Below are 16,850 nucleotides of genomic sequence, written 5' to 3'. Positions count from 1 at the left end.
GAGGCTACACAGAATAGTCACAGTGTGCGGCACCAGTGGAACTTTCCAGAAATCTTCCCACTTAGGTGCCAGGGAAAGGTGTTCACAGGTAGGTATATTATTGGAAGCACTACACTAGAAACCACCTAAGGGTAGGGGATATAGGAAGTGGCTGACCACTAGTGCTGCTGACTGTCATGCGTTGTAGGAGCCTGATGCTAGAAAAGCCATTGTTGCTGCAGGATTGCTCATGCATACTGTAGAAATATAGTGCTGGAGAAAGGCATGCATGCTATGGGAAACGGCTGAGAGACCACAGTGGAATCAGAAAGGAAAATCTCTTTTTACAATGTCCAACCACCTTCAATTACTGAAAAAACTTACTATTGCAACACAATATATTTTTAAGGGTATCTGACTCAATTTTCACAGAGCAGGCAATGAATGATTAATTTTGATCTAAAAGGCAACAGCTTATTAATTGGCATACAGTTCTTTTAATTAAAGGAATAATAAAAAATTAAAACATATCTTCAAACATAGTGATGGTATTTACAATATTTTAAACAGATCATTGATTTTTCCGTTGATGTTTGTAATAGAAAGTGTTGGGAGAAAAGCTGAGTGTTGGGAGAGAATTTGAGGCAGGGCCTGGATGTCTGACATAATGTAAAAGAGTCTTGGAACGTGTCTGGGGTCCAGGGTCTAAAACCCCTTGTGGCCTTTGGAATGTGTCTAGACTTGCTGGCTCCTTGCTTCTAGCACTCCCATTATCTCAAGTAGCCATATGTTTCAAAGAAAATGCTAAACCATCACAGCTGTAGCTCATTTGCTTGATACACCACTTCCTTTCAACCCCCACAGCCTCGCCACCTGTTTCTTTGTTTGATCACCAATAAATAGCATGGGGTCCCAGAGCTTGGGGCCTTCGCAGCCTCCATACTAGCATTGGCCCCTGGTCCCAGTTTCTCTCTTAACTTGTCTTTTCTCATTCCTTTGACTCCGTGGGACTTCATCGCCCCCACGGCCTGGTGTTGGGTCCGATCACCCCAACAGAAAACACTTAATTTTGACTCATACATTAAAGACAGATTAAATTGATAGTTGAGTTTGTAATAACACATTTTTCACCTGAACTCTGAGCTTCTTTTGTCATACGCAATTCAAAGTGGTTCACCCCTTTATACTTTCAATATATACTACTTTTTTTTTTTTTAGACAGATCTCACTCTGTCGCCAGGATGGGGTGCAGTGGTGCGATCTTCGCTCATTGCAACCTCTGCCTCCCGGGTTCAAGTGATTCTCCTGCCTCACTCTCCCGAGTAGCTGGGACTACAGGAGCCCGCCACCATGCCCAGCTAATTTTTGTATTTTTAGTAGAGACGGGGTTTTACCATGTTGGCCAGGATGGTCTCGATCTCTTCACCTCGTGATCCGCCTGCCTCGGCCTCCCAAAGTGCTGCGATTACAGGCGTAAGCCACCACGCCTAGCTCAATATATACTACTTATATGCCAATGAGGCCGGATGAAATGACCTACATGATGTGAACTGATCAAAACAAACTATTTTTTTTAAAAAGCTTGCATTTTTGCTCAGAAATGTTTGTCTCTGTTTTTTGTTTTTGTTTTTGTTTTTTTTCCAAGTGCTTCTCCCACAAGATTCATACATGTCAGGATTTTTGCCCCTATGGTGTTAGCAGTCCAAATGAGTAATTGCCATTGATAAGAGGGAATTTAGATACCATTTACCAAGAAAATGCTCTTGTAGTGCCTATTTGATCTTCCTAACACTAAAGGGAAGACACAGAGTGTAGTTCTACATATTTAGCAACTTTTTTTATTCATGTATTAATACATTAATACAGGGTGTATTAGTTGATTCTCAGCCTGCTAATAAAGACATATCTGAGACTGGGTAATTTATAAAGAAAGAGGTTTCATGGACTCACAGTTCCACATGGCTAGGAAGCCCTCACCATCATGGAGGAAAGCAAAGGAGAAGCAAAGGCACATGTTACATGGTGGCAGGCAAGAGCGCTTGTGCAGGGGAACTCCCATTTATAAAAGCATCAGATCTAATGAGACTTATTCATGACCAAGAGAACAGTATAGGGGAAACCACCCCCCATGTTTCAATTATCTCCACCTGGCCCCACCCTTGACACATGGGATTATAATTCAAGGTGAGATTTGGGTGGAGACACAGCCAAACCATATCACAAGGTCTCACGTTGTCATCCATTCTGGAGTGCAGTGGTGTGATCATAGCTCACTGTAACCACGAACTCCTGGGCTAAAGAAATCTTCCCATTCAACCTCCAGAATAGCTAGGACTACAAGCACACACCACCACACTCGGCTAATTTTTTAATTTTGTAGAGACAGGGTCTTGCTACGTTGCTCAGGCTAGTCTCAAACTCCTGGCCTCAAGTGATTCCCCCCACCTTGGTTTCCCAAGATGCTGGGATTACAGGTGTGAGCCACCACATCCAGTCAATTTAGCAGTTTACAACAATGTAAATATATTATCTCCATTCCTGTGGGTCAGTGGGCACAGGTTAGCTGGATTTTCAGGTGAAATATTTCACAGGGATTCAGTCAAGGTGTCAGTGGCCTGTATTACGTTTTTGTTTTTGTTTTTGTTTATTTTAGATAGAGTCTGGCTCTCACTCAGGCTGGAGTGCAGAGGGGTGATTTTGACTCACTGCAACCTCTGCCTCCTGGACCCAAACCATCCTTTCACCTCAGCCTCCTGAGCAGCTAGGACTACAGGTGCATGCCACTGTGCCCGGGTAATTTTTGTATTTTACTATAGAGATGAAGTTTTACCATGTTGCCCAGGCTGGTCTCAAACTCCTGGGCTCAAGCAGTCTACCCACCTCAGCCTCCCAAAGTGATGGGATTACAGGCGTGAACCACTGTGCGCAGACTCTGTTACTTTTTAAGCTCATTTGCTTGTTGGCAGAATTCATTTTACAATGGCTATAGAATTCATGGCAGCTTGCTTCTTCAAAGGCAACAGTGAAGAGACAGAGTCTTTTCTATTTTCCCTGACATCAGGGAAGGCCTAGGAGCCATTTTTTTTTTAGACGGAGTCTCGCTCTGTTGCCCAGGCTGGAGTGCAGTGGCACGATCTCGGCTCACTGCAAGCTCCGCCTCCCAGGTTTACACCATTCTCCTGCCTCAGTCTCCCGAGTAGCTGGAACTACAGGCGCCCGCCACCACACCTAGCTAGTTTTTTTGTATTTTTAGTAGAGATGAGGTTTCACCGTGTTAGCCGGCGGGGGGGTCTCGATCTCCTGACCTTGTGATCTGCCTAGGAGCCATTTTAAGTGGCTCATCTGATAAGGGGAGGTCTACATAGGCTATTCTGCCTTTTAATGAACTCAAAGCCAACTGATTTCTTTAATTACATCTGCACTATATCTTCACTTTTGACATATAACATAGCATAAACACAGTAACGATATCCTTTGCCACATGCTATTGGCAGGTTCTTCCCACACCCAAGGAAAGGGAATTGAATGAGAGTGACTAATTGTGGGTCACCCTAAGGTGTTTCCACTACTGTCACCATGCTTCAGGCACCACCTACTGTACCTCAGGGCCACATCATATCTCCCATCAGACCAGCTGGTAATTTCATGCTTCATCAAGTTTTTCCTGTTCTAACTTGGGTTGCAATTTTGCTCTGCTAAGGATATACCTAGAAAGAACTAATGTGTTCTGTGCATCTTTAACTTCTACCTAATAGCTTGCCCATGCAAGTAGAACTCAACATGAACCTTTCATAGCTGAATTATTATTAATATTATGTCTTAAGGTCTTACATGGGAATAACACCTTTAATACAAACATAGGCCAAATCTGGATTGAAAGACCTTGTTCTCATATTTTCCTTTCCATTTGCATCGCTGTGACTATGTGGTGTTCTGCAAACATAGAGTCTGTCTTGTCATTTCTACCCTTGGCTTAAGGCTCTCCTGGAGCAAAGGATATTCAGGAAGGCTAAGAGTAGATGTAAACAAATCTATCTTCAATATATGGACAAAGGATAAATTGCTACAGGGCTGGGAGAGAATGCAGAGTAACACAAAGAGAGTACCTTTGTAACGGCAGAACGTTTTCATACTGAGGTGTCTTGTTTATACTGTTTAGCATTCTTATCTCATGAGCCAGATATGTAACTGAGGCATGGGTGTTAAATGACCAGCAGCCATCAATTTCCAATACCAAATGCCATCTTTCAGCTTGACCAGATATGTGATGGCAATTTCAATTCTCTTTTTGACTCAGTCATCCAAAATTAAATGTTTGAGGTTAATCAATTTTAAGATAGTCATAGGGAATGTGTTGTCCGTGTGTGTGTGTGTGTGTGTGTGTGTGTGTGTGTGTGTGTTTGGGTGTATTTTTTCTGTAATGCTCTGACAATATATTCAGGACATGCCAACCCAAAATATGGAAAGTTGGCATAATGAATATTTTAAGCTGAAGGAATTTCAGAAACCAAATGTGTAGGAAGGACTTTCTCACCTTTCGCTGAAAGAGGTCATAAAACCTGGGAAGGGCTTTTTGACTTTCTGCTGAAGCAAGTAATAAAACCCTCATGTGAGAGCTGCCACGCTTTACCCAGAGGAAAAGATCTTTATCTCTGAAGACACAGGGACACTGAGAGGAATCTGAAGGAATAGCCCTTGCTGTTTCCCCCAGTTTATTACACTTAGCTGACACCTTTTGGTCCCATTACATTTCTCCATGACTCTTCGCTCTTCATCAGACCAGCAAAAAAAACACTCAGGTTTAACTGCTTCTTTTGGGCTTAGTTTTCTTATGAAGACTCATGTTACATAAAACATACAGTAAATCAACTTGCATGATTTTCTCTCATTAATCTGTCTCTTGTTACAGGGGGACAAGCAAAGGAATGAGAAGGGTAGAAGTTTCTGGCAACGAGAAAGGGACAGCTGGGACACTTCATTCTGGAGTCTGCAGGTAGGATTCTGGAAAACAGACACAAGCCTGTGCAAGGTGAGAATTTTCACCAAAGTCAGCTCTCCCAGATCTCTGTCAGTAGTTCCTGGTCAAGAGAAGAAAGTAAAAACTCCTTGTCCCTTATTTTCCCAATGCAGATGGATAGGAAAAAAATTATAAAAATTCATTATCTAGATTGTGACTGTAGCTTGATTTTGTGGTGCCTATTGGTTATTGATCCTTTCCCTCCCAGGAGCAGCTATTGCTTTTCTGTTTCTGTCATTTTGTGTCAAGAATTTGGCTTTGTTTCGGCTGGGCACGGTGGCTCACGCCTGTAATCCCAGCACTTTGGGAGGCCGAGGCGGGCGGATCACGAGGTCAGGAGATCAAGACACATCCTGGCTAACATGGTGAAAGCCCGTCTCTACTAAAAATACAAAAAATTAGCCAGGCGTGGTGGCGGGCACCTGTAGTCCCAGCTACTTGGGAGGCTGAGGCGGGAGAATGGCGTGAACCTGGGAGGCAGAGCTTGCAGTGAGCCGAGATCACACCACTGCGCTCCAGCCTGGGCGACAGAGCGAGACTCCGTCTCAAAGGAAAAAAAAAAAAAAGAATTTGGCTTGGTTTTCCACTTGATGGGGCGTACAAGTTGTTGGTTCTTGTGTGTGCAAGCAGCCAACCATCAGGTTGGGGGGCTGTGGGAATACAGCTGGACAGACATGTGGGTTGCAACCCATTTGCAGCTAACATCTATTGCCAGCTCTCAGGGGGAGTATCTAGGCCTGCCTTTCTTTTGGCTATCTTTGAGAGTGGTTTGGCATCTTTAGAGGGCTGCATTTTTTGCACCCTCTTTGAAGATGCCTCTGCATTCATGGGTAAGTCATAAAAGGCTTACGGATTGGGTTTTTTTCCTTTTTCCTTCAGTTTTTCTTTTCCTATTTTTTACCTTTCTCCACCTTTTTCTCTTTTCCTTTTTGTCATGTCAGACACGTAATGATGTCATAACAAGGACTGAGGGAGGCACATCTCACACATGAATATGAAAACCCTATCACCATACCGATAAAGAACCATGAAAGAATCTATGGATTTTGGTTCCAAGTCACTTGTAACGGGTACATTTTTTTTTAATGGGAATGTACTATCAGGAATATTTACCTTTCCTCTTGACCAAAACCTGATAAGATATTTGAAAAAAATTATATATATTTGAGACAGTGTCTTGCTCTGTCACCCAGGCTGGAGTGTAGTGGCACAATCACAGCTCACTGCAGCCTTGACCTCCTGGGCTCAGGTGATCCTCTCACCTCAGCCTCCCGAGTAGCTGGGACTACAGGAGCATGCCACCACACCCAGCTAATTTTGTTTATTTTTAGTAAAGATGAGGTCTCAATACGTTGCCCAGGCTGGTGTGGAACTCCTGGGCTCAACCAATCCTACCGCCTTAGGTTCCCAATGTGCTGGGATTACAGGCATGAGCCACGGCACCCAGCCTGAAAGGATTTTTTAAGACCTCTATGATCAATAGTTGGCCTAATGGGAAGCTGATAGTTACAGACTTATAGGAAAAACTTTCTTTTCTTCTTTTCTGTTTTTGTTTGTTTGTTTGTTTGTTTGTTTTGAGACAGAGTCTCACTCTGTCACCCAGGCTGGAGTGCAGTGGCTCGATTTCGGCTCACTGCAACCTCTGCCTCCCAGATTCAAGCAATTCTCCTGCCTCAGCCTCCGAATAACTGGGATTACAGACGTGCACCTCCATGCCCAGCTAATTTTTGTATTTTTAGTAGAGACGGGGTTTCACCATGTTGATCAGGCTGGTCTTGAACTCCTGACCTTAGGTGATCCGCCTGCCTCAGCCTCCCAAAGTGCTGGGATTACAGGCATAAGCCACCACACCCAGCCAATAGGAACAATTTTCTTAAGTCCTCTCTGTTCTCTCCTTTTGATCCGGATCTTCCCATGTAAACTTATCCATTGACAAAAAGCCTTTTCTTGAACCTCTGTTGGCTATAAGCTTTCACAATTCTGCCTACCTCCCTCTTTTTGGCATGATTTTGCTAAGGATATTTATTTATTTATTTATTTATTTGTTGAGATGGAGTCTCACTCTGCCACCCAGACTGAAGTACAGTGGTGCTATCTTGGCTTACTGCAGCTTCCACCTCCCAGGTTCAAGCGATTCTCCTGCCTCAGCCTCCCGAGTAGCTGGGATTACAGGCATGTGCCACCACACCCAACTAATTTTTGTATTTTTAGTAGAGATAGGGTTTCACCATGTTGGCCAGGCTGGTCTCAAACTCCTGACCTCAAGTGATCCACCACACCCGGCCTGATTTTGCTAAGGATAATTTGGAGCTTCACTAGCCTCTTTGGGGAATTTAATATCTCCCCCAGCTGGTTCCCTTAAGACCTCTTCCTTCCCCCTCTTTCTGTTCCTCCTTCCTACTCTTGCCACTTTCAATCTTCCATTCAGTTCCTTTGAGTCCTGGATATGATCCCTTCAAACTCCTACCTTCTCCATCTCTCTGTCTTCCTCCCCTGTCAGACTTCTTCTCTTAAACTTTAGTCCACCCTGCTGTCAAGGGACTCAGAGTCCTCCAAAAGTAAGTACCAAGGCTGAAGAGGAAAAAAAGACTATTTGGAAATAGACTGGATATTTTATCCACTCAGATGGGTGGTGGAGACATTTCGATAGCTGTTAGATGTCTTTGCAGTGACTCATTTAACATTTAGTCCACAGCCTTCAAAAGGGCTTCACAGGGCAAATGAAGATCTTAAAAACCTTCTCCATGAATATTGGTAAAAAGCATTAGGCCTAATATTTAGTACATAGCCTTAACTTGTCCCATTTACCAGGGACAATAGGGAAAAAATATGAAATGGAGAAAATATGAGAGATAACTGTTACATATAAAACAGTGACTTTGTATTACTATGTGTTTCTGATTCATGGCTAAGATTTTAGAATGATAGCTAGAAGATCTCTTTTGATATTTGCCTGTATGTTTATGTATGTCTCTCCATCTGTGTGAAATTTTTCTGCCTCTGATGGTATTACCAAATTAATTTATAAAATATCTTAAAAGAAATTTGCCGGGTGTGGTGGCTCATCCCTGTAATCCCAACACTTTGGGAGGCCGAGGAGGGTGGATAACCTGAGGTCAGGAGTTGGAAACCAGCCTGATCAACATGGTGAAACACCATTTCTACTAAAAATACAAAAATTAGCTGGACATGGTGGCGGGAGCCTACAATCCCAGCTACTTGGGAGGGTGAGGCAGGAGAATCGCTTGAACCCAGGAGGCAGAAGTTGCAGTGAGCTGAGATTGCGCCATTGCACTCCAGCCTGGGCAACACAGCGAGAATCCGTCTCAAAAAAAAGAAAAAAAAAACTCTACTGGGCCCAATGATACTACCAAATTAATTTATAAAGTTCCTTAAAAGAGGATTTAATTGACTTAAAGGGAAGTAAATGCTTACATAACTAAGTATTCCTAAAACTTAGAAATACAGAAATTAACCCGAATATTATTTTAAGTTCACATAATCTTGTATAGTCTTTGGTAAATAGAGCAACAACCCTGTCTCAAAAAAAATGCCATTTTGAGACCTTGTCTCAAAAAAAAATACCATTACACAACTGTATTCCCAGCATTTAAGGAGGCGAAGGCGGGCAGATCACTTGAGGCCAGGAGTTTCAGGCTAGCCTGGCCAACATAGCAAGATCCCATCTCTACTAAAAATACAAACATTAGCCAAGCGTGGTGGTGCATGCCTGAAATCACAGCTACTGGGGAGGCTGAGTCACAAGAACTGATTGGACCTGGGTGGTGGAGGTTGCAGTGAGCTGAGATCATGACACTGCACTGCAGCCTGGGCGATAGAACGAGACTCTATCAAAAAAATAAAAAATAATAATAATTTTAAAAATGGCATTTTATCTATTTCTCCACATGTTGTGATTATTTCTGACAAGCCAAAATGCATCATGGCTGAGATCCTGATTACAAAAGACAGATTTACAAGAGAAAAACATAATATATTTACTTAACGTAAGTTTTACATGACATGTGAGTCTTCAGAAATCAAGATGCAAAGGCCAAGGGATAGGTGGGGCTTTTTTGTTTTTTTGTTTTTGTTTTTGTTTTTTGAGACAGAGTCTCGCTCTGTTGCCCAGGCTGGAGTGCAATGGCGCGATCTCGGCTCACTGCAACCTCCACCTCCTGGGTTCAAGCGATTCTCCTGCCTCAGCCTCCTGAGTAGCTGGGACTACAGGCTTGTGCCACCACACCCAGCTAGTTGTTTTTTGTATTTTTAGTAGAGGTGGGGTTTCACCATGTTGGTCAGGCTTGTCTTGAACTCCTGACCTCGTGATCCACCCGCCTCAGCCTCCCAAAGTACTGGGATTACAGGTGTGAGCCACTGTGCCCAGCTGGATAGGTGTATTTTTATGGACAGTTTTGAAGAAATAGCTTTGGGGAACAAAGGGTATCATCTAATAGTAATTACCTGGGGAGAAATTCATAAGACCTGTTTGTTCAGATCTTTGTTGGTATCCAGGGATAGGGCAGAACTCCTCTGAAATGAGGGTCCCATTATGACCTACTTTCAGGACAGGTAGGGCAGATAATTCTTTTATGACCTGCTTCAGGGGAGAAAAGTGGGAGCAAATCAGAGAGTGGCCTTCCTGCTTCCATGGTTTTCTCAATTTCCTTCAGCTTAAAATACTCAGTATGCCAGGGCACCGCAATTGAGGATATCCTTTTTTTTTTTTTTTTTTTGAAATGGAGTTTCAATCTCACCTAGGCTGGAGTGCAGAGGTGCGATCTCAGCTCACTGCAACCTCTGCCTCTCGGGTTCAAGCCATTCTCCTGCCTCAGTCTCCTGAGTAGCTGGGACTACAAGCGTGTACCACCACACCCGGCTAATTTTTGTATTTTTAGTAGAGAAGGGGTTTCACCATGTTGGCCAGGCTGGTTTCAAACTCCTGATCTGAGGTGATCCACCTGCCTTGGCCTCCCAAAGTGCTGAGATTACAGGCGTGAGCCACCACACCCAGCCAGGGGTATCCTATTCTGACCCCCTGCACTACCTATGAAACAACAACATGAACATGTAGGGATGCACATTCAGTATGGAGGAAATGAAGCCCAGAGGAGTCGGTCTTTGCATGATTGATCCACAATCCCATCCCTGGTTCACCTCTCTTAAGAATTCGTGTTAGGGCCGGGCACGGTGGCTCATGCCTGTAATCCCAGCACTTTGGGAGGCCGAGGCGGGTGAATCACGAGGTCAGGAGATCAAGACCATCCTGGCTAACACGGTGAAACCCTGTCTCTACTAAAAATACAAAAAAAAATTAGCTGGGCGTGGTGGCAGGCGCCTGTAGTCCCAGCTACTCAGGAGGCTGAGGCAAGAGAATGGCCTGAACCCGGGAGGCGGAGCTTGCAGTGAGCGGAGATCGTGCCATTGAACTCCAGTCTGGGTGACAGAATGAGACTCCGTCTCAAAAATAAAAAAATAAAAAAATTAATATTACTTGCTACAGACTAAACCATTATATTTTAAAATAAATCAAATTTTCTTTTTCTTCTAGTATAAGAAACTTCTCAGCTGGGCACGGTGGCTCACGCCTGTAATCCCAGCACTTTGGAAGGCCAAGGTGGGTGGATCACCTGAGGTCAGGAGTTCGAGACCAGCCTGGCCAACATGGTGAAACCCTGTCTCTATTAAAAATATAAAAATTAGCCAGGTGTGGTGGCGTGTGCCTGTAGTTCCAGCTACTCGGGAGGCTGAGGCAAGAGAATGGCATGAACCCCAGAGGTTCAGGTTGCAGTGAGCCAAGATTGTGCCACAGCACTCCAGCCTGGGTGACAGAGCGAGACTCTGTCTCAAAAAAAAATAAAAAAAGAAAAGAAACTTCTCACAGATGCATAAATTTCACAGAAACAGAAGAATGTCAAGGATCTTAGTAAATGATGAACTTACTTGCTGCTTCTCAGAACTTTAAGAGCCTGTATATGCCTACATTGATTGCAGTACGTTGTTCTTGTGTTTACGAGGAAACTAGGTTAATTGTGCCAGGCTCCAATATTAAAATTAAGTCAGTAAGAGGGGTAGCATGGTTGACTATCTGTAGGAAACTGCTCTTCTGTATTTATAGTTGCCTCCCTGGCTGATTGATGCTTTTACCATACCAAGAAAGGGACTGAATGCAGCAACATCTAGGAAAATAAGGTCCTATTTTGTTAAGATGTGACAAACATCTGATAATTACTTTTGCATTCTTACACGCTGAAAAAATGTACTTCTTTCCTTACAATAAAAGAAAAAAATTGCAAAACAAAACAAAAATAAACTATTACAAAACTGATGTTGTGTAGGAATACATATGTTAAGAAAATATAGTTGACAGTCATTCCTGGCCAGGCGTGGTGGGTCACGCCTGTAATCTCAGCACTTTGGGAACCCGAGGTGGGTGGATCACGAGGTCTGGAGTTCGAGACCAGCCTGGCCAAGACAGTGAAACCTGTCTCTACTAAAAATACAAAAATTAGTTGGACATGGTGGCGGACACCTGTAATCCCAGCTATTTGGGAGGCTGAGGCAGGAGAATCACTTGAACCTGGGAGGCGGAGGTTGTGGTGAGCCGAGATTGTGCCACTGCATTCTAGCCCGGGCAACAGAGCAAGACTACATCTCAAAAAAAAAAAAAAGTCATTTCTAATATATTTGTCATTTTATATTACGGTAAAATATATGTAACCTAAAATTTACCTTTTTAGCCATTTTAAGTGTACAGTTCAGTGACATTAACTAATAATAAAATGATTAATACTTTTTACATTGTTAGGATTACATTATGCTTGGCTCTTACTTTCTCTACTGTCCTATGACTTAATATAAGTCCTCAGGTCAGTCCATCCATGAGCCTGGGGGGTCCTCTCTGCCTGACTCCATCCTCACTCTTTCCCAGACCCTATCCCTCTTGGCAACATCCAGGGACCTCCCCAGCGGACACAGACCATCCTCACTCATTTGGCTTCCTGGCATGCAGACCTCATGGGCTGGGGTATCATTTCAAGGAACAAGAGGCCTCCCTTGTCTATCCCAGGTCTGATGCCTGTCTTCTCAGCCCCCAAAGGCAGCTATTCCACCTATAGTTTAATTTTCGGTTACATTTTTCTGAATCTCCAATGTATACAAATCTCAGAGAATGTGAAAACTTTGTCTAAATTGTTTACCTGTGAGCCTGCCTCGGCCTCCCAAAGTGCTGGGATTACAGGTGTGAGCCACCACACCCAACCCAAACCTATTATAATACATGGACTGATGCTCATGGCCAGAGACAAAGTTCAACTCAGCATTAAGACCTCAGTGAGGCCAGGTGCGATGGCTCATGCTGGTAATCCCAGCACTTTGGGAGGCCGAGGCCGGAGGATAACCTGAGGTCAGGAGTTTGAGAGCAGCCTGGCCAACATGGTGAAACCTTGTCTCTACTAAAAATACAAAAATTAGCCAGGCATGGTGGCGCATGCCTGTAATCCCAGCTACATGGGAGCCTGAGGCAGGAGAATCGCTTGAACTCGAGAGGCAGAGGTTGCAGTGAGCTGAGATCATGCCACTGCACTCCAGTCTGGGCAACAGAGCAAGACTCCGTCTCAAAAAAAAAAAAAAAAAAAGACCTCAGTGTGTGCTCGTGGGGATATATTTCTATAGGACCGGAAGATGATACAGAGAACAAAGGAGAAGATAAGATGGAGAAAGGACATTTAAGGGGTCAGTAACTATGCCAAGTGCTTTGAGATGACAATGATACTTAACGATTAAAAGCCAGTTTGACTGTGTCTGATTATGTCACTTTACATCCCATTCCTGCCACTTTGGGTAGGGTCCTAAGTAAAGAGGATGTGGCCACAGTTAGTCTTACTTTGTTCATATCTAACATGTGAAGAAGAAATGTAACATTAGGAGTTTTGGAAAATGGAAATAATAAATGCATCTGAGAAATAACTAAAATGAATGATAATTTTAATTGAGTCCCTTTTTAGGTGTGCAACTCTGCTCAAAGTCATTGTCATAAACGACGTCATGTCACAGCTAATGTGTGCTATGGCTGGACCCATCTGATGGCTGACTAAATATCAGATGGGTCTCTCCCTGAAGAAAATGGTAAAGCCTGACACTGAACCTACCATTTTACTGACAGGAACATAAGTGGAACAGGGACAATCCTTACCTGGAGAAGTGCCCCACGTGGCTGCTAGCTGTGTGGAGACTTGATGGGAGTCCCAATTACCTTCGTCAAAGTATCTGTTAAAGAAAAAGTCATATTCAATGATACGTGTTAATGCATAGTAAGGAAGACTTTATTCGGGACCACTGCAATAGATTTAGGGACCGCCGTAATGGGGCCTTGCAGTGTGGGAGAGAGTGAGACTCAACTCTAAGTAACTCTAAGTACAGCATGGGCAAGTGGCAATTTATAGCCAAGGAACAGGGTGGGGACTAGTGGTTGGAAAATTACTAAGAATTAACATCAGGGGCAAGAGGGATTCTGGCTAAATTGATCTAATAGGATTCTTGCTGAAGACAAGCTGGGATGATCACTTAAGGGATGGTGGAGGATGAGGAACCTGATAAGATATAGAAGGTGATCAGATGTCTAAGGTGTGGGGGTCTTGCTAAACTAACTTAGCAGTGTTCTTGTTAAAACTGCATTTTACAAGAAAGTGCATGGATGGAGTTAAGAGAACGTTCCGGAGCCTGACTAATGTTTGGTTAAGAATAAAATTTTTTACACATCCTCCAAAATTGGAGAAAGAGAAGTGAGGCTATGTACTGAGAATGCAGAAACAGAAACCAGACGGATGCTGGATCCATGAGGACATTCTTGAACTTTGAAGAAGAGTTCTGGTCTGTTCACGCTATTATTTTGAAATGTATATGAAAAATAAACTCATTGCATTTGTATGCAGCTGTGTGTAAGTGTGTTTTATATCCTGATAGTAAAAATATGGCCATGCAACACGTGGGCTACAGGCTAATAAAAACAATATTCACACACCCAGACATACACACACACACACACACACACACACACACACACACAGCCCCAGATTCCTTCCTGGAAAATCCTTCGTTCTCATCAGCCTCTGCTCTCTCCACTGGCTTGCCTGTCCCTCTTTGGTTTTAGGTGTGGGAAATGATACAATGTTGCAGAGATGTGGGAAAGACTCAGGCAAGGAAAACAGAGAGTAGCAAAATAGCTAATAAAAGCAAAATGGTTAAATTATTCAAACAAATTTATAAATGAGGTGATACATATTTTATAAACATAAAACTGTTTCCAAGTCTATGTAGAAAAATGAGCCAAAGATACTCATGCCATCTCACCAGGTGAGAAGTTTCCAAAAGCAATTTGGCAGTGTCTAGGAAGATTTTAAAGGAACACCTTTTGACCCCACTGTTATGGAAGCAGGAGCTGGTTAGAGCCAAAGTAATGGCATTTTAAGTTCAGCTCCATCTTGAGATTAACTAAGGCACATTCCTTGCTGGTCACAACCCATAGTCATGTTTATAATTGAGGAAACAGCTTAACAATACCTAGGCTACCGGTGCAAGGATACACTCCTACAACAACACAAAATCCAGATGTCCCAATACCCATAACAATATATGCTTTCAAGTTACTTACAGTTATGGCTTTGATGTACTTACTAAAATGTCAAGGACCATTTTCTTTAAATCAACAGAATAGTAAATTTTGTCATGCTCTCAACCCATCTGCACGTAGACACAGCTTAGTTTAGTCTTTACATAGACAAGACACTTACATAAAAAAAACTTAAATACAAGGCATTTCTCCTCTTGCTTTCTGAGGATGCTCTACTCTATAGCTGAGTAGCTTTCAATAAACTCTCTCTTTTCAGTGCACTCTGCATCTCGCCTTGAATTCCTTCCTGCTAGAGATCCAAGAACCCTCTTTTGGGGTCTGGGTCAGGGCCCCTTTTTCTGGCAACACTATGAGTCTCCCCTACAAACATTTTGAAATTGGCTTATTTATGTCTAGGCATGATTATTCCAACATTGTTTCTCATATCAAAATAAGAAAAAATATATAAAAGTATAATAGTAAATGGAAAGTAACTGTGGCCTATCCATATGAAATACTATGGAAAGCTTTAAGATAACAAAATTTAAAAGAATCCAAAAGAAAGCTATCCACACCAAATTATCCGAGGCTTCAGAAGATCATGCTGGTGTCTACATACCAGCACAGTGGTGAGAAACGTGGTCTGTGCAGAGCAAGGATGGGCTAAGTGTCATGACATCAACACTTCATGCCTTCCTGAATTTGTACCCAATCTCTCCTTTCCTCTCTGTGCATTTATACTACACAATGCATACCTTTACACCAAGTCTTACTTTTAAACTATGAAAAGCACAATCAATACCAGGAATATACTACACCCTTTTTGTTTGTTTGTGTTTTGAGACAGGGTCTCGCTCTTTCACCCAGGCTGAAGTGCCGTGGATCCATCATGCCTCACGGCAGCCTTGACCTTCTGGGCTCAAGCGATCCTCCCACCTCAACCTTTCAAGTAGTTGGGACCACAGGCATGTGTCACCATGCCTGGCATTTGTGTGTGTGTATATAGATCTTTTTTTTTTTTTTTTGTAGAGGCAGGGTTATGCCATGTTGCCCAGGCTGGTCTTGAACTCCTGAGCTCAAGCAATCTTCCTGCTTCAGCCTCCCAAAATGCTGGGATTACAGGCGTGAGCCACCATGCCCAGCCCTACATTCTTTTTTTTTTTTTTTTTAGACAGAGTGGGGCTCTGTTGTCCCAGCTGGAGTGCAGTGACACGATCTCAGCTCACTGCAACCTCCACCTCCCAGGCTCAAGCAATTCTCGTGCCTCAGCCTCCCGAGTAGCTGAGACTACAGGCATAAATGCCCGGTTAATTTTTGTATTTTCAGTAGAGATCAGGTTTCACCATGTTGGCCAGGCTAGTCTCAAATTCCTGACCTCAAGTGATACACCTGCTTCAGCCTCCCAAAATGCTGGAATTACAGGCATGAGCCACTGTGCCCAGCTTCAGCCCTACATTCTTGATAAATACTAGTAGTAACTAATATTATTATAATCATATAGTGAATATAATAAAACATATATCCACAAAGAAGCACAGATATAATTGCACATATTTTTCAAGGCTTTATCTGAAATGATAGAGTGTAAGATATTGCCAATGATGCCTGTTATTATCCAAAGTGCAATTGCAGGTGTAAAGCCTGGTGGAGGATGCAGGGACAGAGGTTGGAGTGCAGTGGTCAAGAGTGGAGTGTGTTTGTTGAGGGGGTAGGGATTATAAAACTGGCCCTGAGCCACCCAGTGGGTGTGCCCAGCTTCAGCCCCTGTGGGCTACTGTCCTCCCAGACAGCCAGATGACCTTTCTATAGTGCTCTAGGGTGAGCCCGAGGCTCTGGCCAAGGTGCCTTTCCTGCAGGCTGATGTACAGGGCTGTGTGTGCTAAGTGGGCACATCCTGGCAGAGACTGCCCACCGCAGACCATCCAAGGAATACGCTTGGCCTCCCTGCTTACTTGGCTGCAAAGCCGCTGGTTTCTGATTTTACTGGCTTCCTTCTTGACTGTCCAGAAGTTGGAATTTCACAGTACAGATAGTCCCCAACTTAAGATGGTTCAACTTACAATTTTTCAACTTTATGATGGTGTGACAGTGATAAGCATTCAGTAGAAACTGAACTTTGAGAATTCACACAACCATTGTTTTTCACTTCCAGTATTTTATGAATTACATGAGATATTCAACACTTTATTATAAAATAGACTTTGTGTTTGATGATTTTGCCCAAATGTAGGCTAATGTAAGTGT

General features: G+C 43.2%; 1 protein-coding gene, 1 long non-coding RNA gene and 1 other non-coding gene across 87 annotated transcripts in view, besides 1 other annotated feature; all 3 read right to left on the bottom strand.

Annotated features, from left to right (window-relative positions):
- The window catches only part of SNHG14 (small nucleolar RNA host gene 14), a 595,855-nt gene that overhangs the window by 519,683 nt on the left and 59,322 nt on the right, over positions 1-16,850 (bottom strand). The window contains exon 3 of the long non-coding RNA NR_146177.1: positions 13,191-13,264. This is a non-coding gene — a long non-coding RNA (small nucleolar RNA host gene 14). The remainder of the gene's footprint in view (positions 1-13,190; positions 13,265-16,850) is intronic.
- The window catches only part of SNRPN (small nuclear ribonucleoprotein polypeptide N), a 155,087-nt gene that overhangs the window by 78,944 nt on the left and 59,293 nt on the right, over positions 1-16,850 (bottom strand). For 71 of the 85 annotated variants that reach the window (NM_022807.5, NM_022808.5, NM_001400637.1 and 68 more), the window contains one exon: positions 13,191-13,264. The exons of 10 other annotated variants lie outside the window; for them this stretch is intronic. The gene's annotated coding sequence lies outside the window, so the exon portion shown is untranslated. Of the gene's footprint in view, positions 1-10,939; positions 11,651-13,190; positions 13,265-16,850 lie in introns of all 85 variants that reach the window. 4 more of the 85 variants (NM_001400738.1, NM_001400745.1, NM_001400685.1 and 1 more) reach the window with 3 other exon arrangements.
- Positions 522-1,154: an enhancer, noted in NCBI's record as "OCT4-NANOG-H3K27ac hESC enhancer chr15:25143773-25144405 (GRCh37/hg19 assembly coordinates)". NCBI's record gives its function as "activates a minimal SCP1, AML or CMV promoter by ChIP-STARR-seq in naive and primed H9 embryonic stem cells {active_cell/tissue: H9 hESC(naive and primed)}" and the evidence as "EXISTENCE:reporter gene assay evidence [ECO:0000049][PMID:30033119]".
- LOC124903612 (small nucleolar RNA U13) lies at positions 5,932-6,033 on the bottom strand. The gene has a single exon (XR_007064837.1). It is a non-coding gene; the product is annotated as a small nucleolar RNA U13 (small nucleolar RNA).

The sequence above is a fragment of the Homo sapiens genome, chromosome 15 (genome assembly GCF_000001405.40).
Source record: "Homo sapiens chromosome 15, GRCh38.p14 Primary Assembly".
Taxonomy (NCBI): Eukaryota; Metazoa; Chordata; class Mammalia; order Primates; family Hominidae; genus Homo; species Homo sapiens.
The sequence above is the reverse complement of the archived record's forward strand: the minus strand, read 5'-3'. Positions and strand labels throughout refer to the sequence as shown.